This window comes from Homo sapiens, chromosome 2, assembly GCF_000001405.40.
Source record: "Homo sapiens chromosome 2, GRCh38.p14 Primary Assembly".
Taxonomy (NCBI): domain Eukaryota; kingdom Metazoa; phylum Chordata; class Mammalia; order Primates; family Hominidae; genus Homo; species Homo sapiens.
In genome coordinates this window covers 99534691-99544377 of record NC_000002.12, presented here as the reverse complement: position 1 = coordinate 99544377, position 9687 = coordinate 99534691, and positions in this window count along the sequence as shown.

The window sequence follows — 9687 nt, the reverse complement described above, 5'->3', positions numbered from 1 at the left end:
TGGCTACCACTTTGAGTCCTTCCTGGCTGCAGGCAGAGTTCTAACAGACCAAGGCGGGCAGGGCAGCAGGGCTACCTAATACCCCACTGTGGGTGGTACGCCCCATCCTCCTCCTCATCATCACACCCTAGTTTTAAGAAATCAGAGGGGCCGGGCACTGTGGCTCATGCCTGTAATCCCTGCACTTTGGAATGCCGAGACAGGCGGATCACCTGAGGTCAGGAGTCTGAGACCAGCCTGGCCAACATGATGAAACCCTGTCTCTACTAAAAATGCAAAAAATTAGCCAAGCGTGGTGGTGGGCACCTGTAATCCCAGCTACTTGGGAGGCTGAGGTGGAAGAATCTCTTGAACTCAGGAGGCAGAGGTTGCAGTGAGCTGAAATTGTGCCACTGCACTCCAACCTGGGCAACAAGAGCAAAACTCCATCCCAAAAAAAAAAAAAGGAAAAAAAAGCAGGGGCTATCCAGATGGGAAGGGGAAGAAGCAACATGGAGTCCAAGCTTCCAATGGCTGCCATCTTCCATGAGAAAACAGCGTGTGCACTGCACATCATGCTACAAGCGTCACCAGAGACCTGTGGCACAGTCAGGCTTCCTGTGCCCCCATGGTGAGTTCTCTTCATGTGGATCTTGTGCCTCTGATGGTAATTTTTGTTAGGGGGTGGGGGTAGGAGGTGGAGGACAGCTGCTCAGGGAGGTTCGTCTCTGAGAAAGGAGATCTGTCATAAGGGACTTAGGTATGTCATGCATGAGCTTCGGGAAAGAAAGAGGAAACCTCTCTTGAGAAAATGGATGTTTTTTTTTTCCTCTAGGAGGTTAGGTGGTTGCATCAACATAACTATTTAATTGTAGGAAAAACTTTAGTGGCTGTACCAGTAGAGAGGAAAATCAACATATGATCTCATTGATCTTTGTGATGCCCAATGACTGGACATTCTAGCCCCAAACATGCAGACAAAGACTAGAAATCCAACTAATGATCTGGATGTTGCATACCACTAGGGTCAAAGCCCTAAATGGTGGATTGAAATTTTTAGCTGTTACATTTTTTAGGCACAGGGCCAGTGTGTCTGCCTTGCATCAGTAAATCAGTGCTTTGAGCTTAACCAAAGTAATCATGACATACTGAAGAGTCCCTTCTTTTCATATTCACTGGAAATCCCTTTCCTAACCTTTCTCCAGTTAAAAAAATAAAAAATAAAAAAAATAAAAGGAACCATGGCTGGAGATGATGAAAGGTTCAGCCTGATTTATGCCTAACTTAATACTAATGTTGTTTTCACAGGTGCACGAGACCTTGCCCAGTGCAAGCAAATTCCAAGTAGTTGGCTAAAAACTTCTAGAGTGGCAACAAAAAAAAAAATTTTTTTTTTTGAGAACCTCATTCTGTCACTCAGGCTAGGGTGCAGTTGCACAATCTCAGCTCACTGCAACCTCCCCCTCCCGGGTTCAAGCAATTCTCCTGCCTCAGCCTCCCAAGTAGCTGGGATTACAGGCGCCTGCCACCACATCCGGCTAATTTTTGTATTTTTAGTAGAGATGGGGTTTCACCATGTTGGCCAGGCTGGTCTCGAACTCCTGACCTCAGGTGATCTGCCCGCCTCTGCCTCCCAAAGTGCTGGGATTACAGGTGTGAGCCACAGCACCCAGCCTGGCAACACAATATTTATTAGCAGGAGGAAATACACCAGGTGGACACTTGGACTTCACCCTTTCTCAGGCAGGGTGCTAAGGAACAGATACTCCTGTTACAGTGTAATAGTCTCTTGCTTACACAATTCTGTAAACATCTAAAGTCCCTCGCATGAATTCTGCCCCAGTCAGTGAAGGAATTTAAAATTCCACCATTTTTTTATGCTGTGTGTGTCATCTTGGAGGTTTATTCATGGAGCTAGCAACTCTGCTTCAGTATTCTGATATCAAAGGCCTAGTGTGTCACATCAAACACCGTTTCAAATTCTGCGTTTTGGTCTTGGGAAAGCTGTCAGCAACTTGGGAGCCAGCTTATCTCCCTCGAGAATTTTCCAGGTATCCAGCTTTGGCAGTCACAAAAACAAATTATAAGATCTTCATCTTCTTACAGCCATCAATCTTAGGATGGTTTCAAGAATTGAAGAGGATTTTAAGTAGGACAATTCTGTATAGTAATTTATGTCGTGAAAATGTACACATTGTAGCATTGATGAAAATGCCGTTTATTAGGTCCAATACCATTTTCATATCTCTTCTAGTTATTCTCTATTAAAGTAGATCAAGTTCATTTTGTTATGTGATATTCATTTGGGGCTTCTTGTTAGTGCATTTGGATGTGATTGTGGAGAAAGTCCAGAATCTGTGTTGATAGTCACTATTTTAATCCAAGTAGCTGTAATGGCTCTGTTAAGCAGCAACATTACAAACACTACGGCTGAGAAAGTTGCAGGCTCCTATCTGTGTCTCTGAGTATGTGGGAAAAAAAAAAAGTTAATCCAAGCAATTCATTAAAGACCATTGGCTTTAGTAAGAATCACTTCTTCCAGCCTTTCTTCTCAAAATCTGTGAATACTTCTTGCAGGGAAACTTTATTGTTTTTTTCTACTCCAAAACATTATATATGATAAAAATTTATTTTAAGGCATTCATATAAATAGACTGGAAAGTACATGCATCAAAATATTTCACTGTTTGGAAGACTGGTGTTTTCTTTTGTGCTTGTCTCTGTTTTCCAAATTTTCTGCAATGAGCTTGTGATTCTTCTGAAGTTAGAAATTCTAAAAACCAGGCTGAGACAGAATTGCTTGAACCCGGAAGGCGGAGGTTGCAGTGAGCCGAGATCACGCCACTGCACTTCAGCCTGGGCAACAGAGCGAGACTCCGTCTCAAAAAAAAAGAGAAAAAGAAATTCTAAAAACCTACAATAAATGTTGTTTTCTTCATAAAAGCACATCTACACATAACTATGAGGACATTGCGCATAGTTCTAGTGTAGTACTGTGCAAAAATAATTTGCAATCTGCGGTGAGGGTGCAAAGTATATCAGCTGAAACAGTGACCTTTTAAGTCTTCCTAGGAAGTTTAAGTGGATCCCTCCCCCTAAGCAGGCCAAATCTCTTATTCCTGTTTAGGAATCCCATCTCCCAGTCTGCTTTTAAGATATCTGCACACCCGGAACCTAAAATCTTCACTTTGGGGGTTACCCATATCTGCATGAGGCAGTGCAAACGTTAAACCCCCTTTCTCTCTCTCTCTCTCTCTCGTGTCACCACAGTTGCATTTATCATATTGCAAAGAAAACTCCACATTCAAATCATGAATAATTTAATAGTGAATTATTTTGGCACAATCTTAGGAAGGAGTGGAGAACACATCTAATATTAAGAATTTGTCTAGAAGGATCTTGTATTTTATCTGAGTCTAAAATTTACAAGTGCAAAGATGATGGAGTCTTTGACCACTTACTTTACTGTTTGGAGATTTTGCTGTTTCTATAAATTCACCTGAAACTCACGCAGTGCAGTTCCTGGGATGGGGAAACATCTTACTGTACCGTAACAGAACGAGCCTTAAGGATTCGTAAGCATAAGCACTTTTATATTTAAAGGGAAATATTAATTTATCAGTGAAATTACTTTTTTAATGTCTCAATAAACCTTGAAATCAACATCACTCTGTCTCTAAAACATCCTAGTGTCTCTTCCTTAAACTTCTTTCCAAGTAAAATGTTGTCCTTTCACATGTGTTACGTTTTGTCTTAAATATAATCAACTAATCATAAAAAAACTACCTTTTCCCCTACAAAAGTATGAATCCACCCGACCTACTAAAATGGGCAACATCATTGTAAAGAAAGGAGCAGCAGCCAGGGGCAGTGGCTCAGGCCAGTTAACCCAGCCCTTTGGGAGGCTGAGGCAGGCAGCTTGCTTGAGCCTAGGAGTTCAAGATTAGCATGGGGAATATGGTGAAACCCCGACTCTACAAGAAATACAAAAATTGGCCGGGCGCGGTGGCTCACGCCTGTAATCCCAACACTTTGGGAGGCCGAGGCAGGCAGATCACGAGTTGAGGAGATGGAGACCATCTTGGCCAACATGGTAAAACCCCATCTCTACTAAAATACAAAAAATTAGCCGGGTGTGGTGGCGCATGCCTGTAGGTCCAGCTACTTGGGAGGCTGAGGCAGGAGAATCGCTTGAACCTGGGAGGCAGAGGTTGCAGTGAGCTGAGATCGTGCCATTGCACTCCAGCCTGGTGACAGAGCAAGACTCTGTCTCAAAAAAAAAAAAAAAAGAAAAGAAAAGAAATACAAGAATTAGCCAGACATGGTGGCACGTCCCTGTGGTCCCAGCTACTCTACTAGGGAGGCTGAGGTAGGAGGATCACTTGAGCCCAGGAGTTCAAGGCTGCAGTGAGCTATTATCACACCACTGCACTCCAGCCTGGGCAACAGAGTAAGACCCTGTTTCAAAAAAGAAAAAGTAAAGGCACACCAATCTGAGAATACTCTTGGAAGGAAATGTTAAGTAAGTGTCACGTTAGAGTGAAAAAGAAATAACCTGTAATAGAGCCTGGAATATTCTTGCTAAAGGGGGTTTTTTGCTTTTATGTTTTTTTTTAATATGTCTAAGCTTTATTTACTGTAAAGCAGTGTGCAAATGTAAGCTGTTACTTTGTGACATAATTCAAATAACCAGCAGACAAATATTTAAAATATTCAATGCTAAACCCCAACATAAGCCGTTTTTAGTTCACTACATTTCTTTCCCCTTTTCTTCTTTGAAATTTATTTTAAATCAAGTAATACAATGCTGCTTAAAAAAAAGTATACAATATAAATAGATAAGAGTTCCCCTTTATCCCCATACAGTTCACCCCAAAGAGAGCCACACTAGTCTTGAGCTCCTGGCCGCAAGTGATCCTCCGCCTCAGCTTCCCAAAGTGCTGGGATTGCAGGTGTGAGCCACAGCACCCACTCTTGTCAATTAGATATATCTGTCCATATTCATTTACATGTCTGTGTGTGTGTGTGTATGTGTGTGTATTTAACACAAATAGATTCACATTATACATGCTGTTTTGTGTTCTGAAACTTGCTTTTATCATTTAGTAGGAAATCTGGGACATTGTTCAGTATCAGTACAGAAAGATCTACCTCATTGCTTGGGACCTCTGCTCAGTATCTCTGTAGTACAATTCATCTTGGTTTATTTAACATTCCCTATTGATGGATATTTAAGTTGACTCATTACGTTTTTAAAAATTGATATATAATTCACAAAGCATAAAATGTATCTTTTACAGTGTAAAGTCCAGTGGTTTTTAGTGTATTCACAAGATTATGCAACCATCACCACTGTCTAATTCCAGAACTTTTTTTTTTTTTTTTTTTTTGAGATGGAGTTTCGCTTTTGTTGCCCAGTCTGGAGTGCAGTGGTGTGGTCTTGGCTCACTGCAACCTCCGCCTCCCAGGGTTCAAGCAATTCTCCTGTCTTAGCCTCCCGAGTAGCTGGGATTACAGGCACCCACGATCACTCCTGGCTAATTTTTGTATTTTTAGTAGAGATGGGATTTCACCATGTCGGCCAGGCTGGTCTTGAACCCCTGAACTCAGATGATCCAACCACCTTGGCCACCCAAAGTACTGGGATTACAGGTGTGAGCCACCGCACCCAGCCTCCACAACATTTTTATCACCCCAGATAGAAACCCTGGACCCATTAGCAGTCATTCCCCAATCTCCCCTCCCCACAATCCCTGGCAACCACGAATCTAGTTTCCATCTCTGTGGATTTGCCCATTCTGGACATTTCATATAGGTGGAATTATACAATATGTCTCCTTTTGTGTCTGACTTCTTTCACTTAGCACAGTGTTTCCAAGGTTCATCCATATTGTAGCATGTTATCAGCACTTCATTTTTATTTACAGCTGAATATCTCCTTGCATGGAGAGAAACACATTGTTTTTATCTATTCATCAGTTGATGGGCATTGGGTTATTTCCACCTTTTGGCTACTATGAATAATGCCAGTATGAACATTCATAGCACAAGTATTTGTGTGAAGATATGTTTTGAATTCTTTTCAGTATATACCTAGGTGTGGAATGGCTGGGTCGTGCTACCTGTATGTTTAGCCTTTTGGGAAACTGCCAATGCATTTTCCACAGGAGCAGCACCATTGTATATTTCCACCAACGAGGAACGGGATTTTCCATTTCTTCATGTCCTTGTCAACACTTGTTATGGTCCATCTTTTCTTATTCTAACTATCCTAGTAAGTGTGACGTAATATTGCATAGCAGTTCTGCTTTGCATTTCCCTAATACTAAGGATGTTGAGCATCCTTTTATATAGTTATTGGCCATTTTATATCTTCCTTGGAGAAATGTTTATGCAAATCCTTTGCCCATTTTAAAATTAGGTTATTTGTCTTTTTATTGTTAAGTTGTAAGGGGTTTTTATATGTTCTGAATGCTAGATCCCTATCAGATATATGATTTGCAAATATTTTCTCAAATTCTGTGAGTTTTCTCTTCACCTTCTTGATACTGCCTTTGGTTGTGCAAAAGTTTCTCATTGTGATGAAGTTTAATGTATCCATTTGAAATTTTGTCTCAGGCTTTCATGTCATATATAAGAAGGCTTTGTTCAACTCAAGGTCATGAAGATTTGCTCTTATATCCTCTTCAAGGACTTTCAAAGTTTTAGCTGTAGTATTTAGATCTGTGATTCATTTTAAGTTACTTTTTGTGTATGGTGTGAGGTAGGGGTGCAGCTTCATTCTTTTGCATGTGGATATCCAGCTATCTCAGCACCATTTATTAAAAAGAGTATTCTCTCCCCACCCCCCATTGAATTTTCTTGGCACCCTTGTCCAAAATGAATTGGCTGCACACACGAGGGCTTATTTCTGGACTCTCATTCCCATTCCAATAACCTCTATATCCATCCTTATGGCAGCACCACACCATCTTGATTACTGTAACTTTGTAGTAATATCTGAAATCAGGAATGTGAGTCTTCCAACTTTGTTCTTCTTTTGCAAGATTATTTTGGGCTAAATGTTTCTTTTTAAATTAACTATCCATTGCATATCATATTTCCTATAAATGAACTTGTTCCAAACAGGGGACTATCTGTTCCAGTTTAAAAAAAAAAAAAATACTACATGCCTTAGTAGCATGGCTTACAGGACTGTATGAAAAGTACCGAATGACTTCATGAGCCTTTTACTGCCAACCAAATTCCTGACCATTCTCAGTCTCTGTTCTCCAAGAGACAAGGCCCATATGAGGGTTATTGGGCTGGTGTCCAGCTGCCCCCTGCCCACCAAGCTGCAGTGTTTTATACATGTAATATGTCTCCCCAAACCATGGTGACCTGGGGGCAAATAGAAGCACAAAGCTGTTCCAGCAATTTTTATGACTGCAAACTCCAGCAGCTTCCCCCTGCCCCCCTGTCCCTGGTCCTTCACCCCTAGCTCCGGCCCTGCTGCACCCTGCATGGATTTGTTGCTTTGTACACTCTGTCCCACCCAAAGGCACTGCCTGGTGCCTTTGGTGGCAGGTCATCAGAGGCAAAGGGCTGTGGCCACCTCTTCACTGCTTCCCTGCCCAGCATTCCTTCAGTGACTTCCAACTCTAGCCCAAAGTGTAGGGAGGGAGATTTTTCCTTCACTGGCTTGGATGTGCCTGGGATTGGGGTCCTAGCCTGGTGCTGACTCTGTCTTGGGGTGTCCTTAACGTGACTCTGGAAGAAAACTCTCTTCCTCCTGCCTCCTCCACTCCCATCACAGGGATCTCTCACCTGTGGTTCCCCAGACAGACAGAAGTATGCCAACTTGTATAGGCTGAGCATGTCCCCACAATTCACAGGCAGAAGTCCTGGCCCCCAGTGCCTCAGAATGTGACTGCATTTAGAGATAGGGCCTTTAAAGACGTAATTAAGTTAAAATGAGGCTGTTAGGGTGAGCCCTAATCCACTCTACCTGGTGTCCTTATAAGGAGATATGGACACACAGACAGCCACCAGGGGTGCACAGCACCAAGGAGCCAGGCCTGGAACAGATCCCTCCCTCACAGCCTTCAGAGGGGGCCAACTCTGCCAGCAACTTGATCTTGGACTTCCAGCCTCCAGAACTGTGAGACAGTCTATTTCTGTTGTTTAAGCCCCAGGTCTGTGGAATTTTGTTAGGGCAGCCTGAGCAAACAAATATCCAGCCCCTCCTCAGCATCTGGGCATCCTATGGGACCCCCCAGCTTCTCTGCTGAGGCCTCCACATCTCTCCAGGACACATCTTGGGCAGGACTGGAGGCTAGGCTCTAAATCAAGCCTAGACCAGCTCTCTTGCATGTGGCCCCACCTGATACACAGAAGGACATGTATTTGACCCAAGCAGGACAGGGGGGCACTGGTTACCTCCCAAACACATCCCTTCTCTGCTGCCACAGGCAGCTTTGACTTCCACACCTGTGAGTGTGAGAAATTATCCCACTACGCAAGCTGCAGAAGCACAGGCCAAACTTTCTCCTCAGCACTTCTCATTAGATGTGCTGGAACACAGAGAGCAGGGCTGAGACTCAGAACACAGCACCTCTTCCTGTCCGTAGTCCTAGCCCTTCCTGTGGCCTCTCCAGCGTCCTCTCCAGGCCTGAAGCAAGTCATCTCAACTCAGGTTCTGAAGCGCAGTTCTCTGCTATCTGCACTCCCTGCGTGGTAGGCCTCACCTCACTGTGGGACACGAGAGTGGTTGACACCTACTGTCTTGGGGACTCCTCAGAAAACAGAGTCCTGTGTGAACCTCCCATTAAACTAGAATTAAGACCTGCGTGGCTTCAAGTGAGGCCTAATGACACCGTGGGGTTTGTCTCTCTTTGCAGTGCCCAGCAAAGTGACCACCCTTCAGGCAGAGGACAGGGCCAGCTGGTGGGAACAGAAACTGGTGCAGCCACTGTGGAAAACAGCTTAGCAGCTCCTCCAACAGTGAAACCCAGGTTACCATATGACCCAGCAATTCCACTCCTAGGTATATACTCAAGAGAACTGAAAGTATATATTCGCATAAAAATGTGTACATGAATTTTCATAGCAGTGTCATTCATAATAGTCAAAAAAAAGAAAACAGCCCATCAACTGATAAATCAATAAACAAAGTGGGTATGCCCATATAGTAGAACAAAAAAGGAATATTGATACATGCTACAACATGCAAGAACCTTGAAAACATTGTGCTAAGTACAAGAAGCCAGACAAAAAAGGCCACATGTTGTAAGATTCCATTCATATGAAATGTCCAGAATGGACAAATTCAGAGAGTCAGGAAGTGGATTGGTGGTTGCCAGAGGTCGGGGAAGGAGAATGGGGAGTGACTGCTGATGGAGACAAGGTTTCTTTTTAGGGTGATGAAAATATTCTGGAATTGAGTAGTGGGATGGTTGCATAAACTTGTGAATATACTAAAAATTACTGAACCCTATACATTTTTTTTTTTGAGTCAGCATTTCGCTCTTCTTGCCCAGGCTGGAGTGTAATGGCACAATCGCAGCTCACTGCAACCTCGGCCTCCTGGGTTCAAGTGATTCTCCTGCCTCAGGCTCCCGAGTAGCTGGGATTACAGGCATTCACCATGATGCCTAGCTAATTTTGCTAATTTTGTATTTTTAGTAGAGACGGGGTTTCTCCATGTTGGTCAGGCTGGCCTCGAACTCC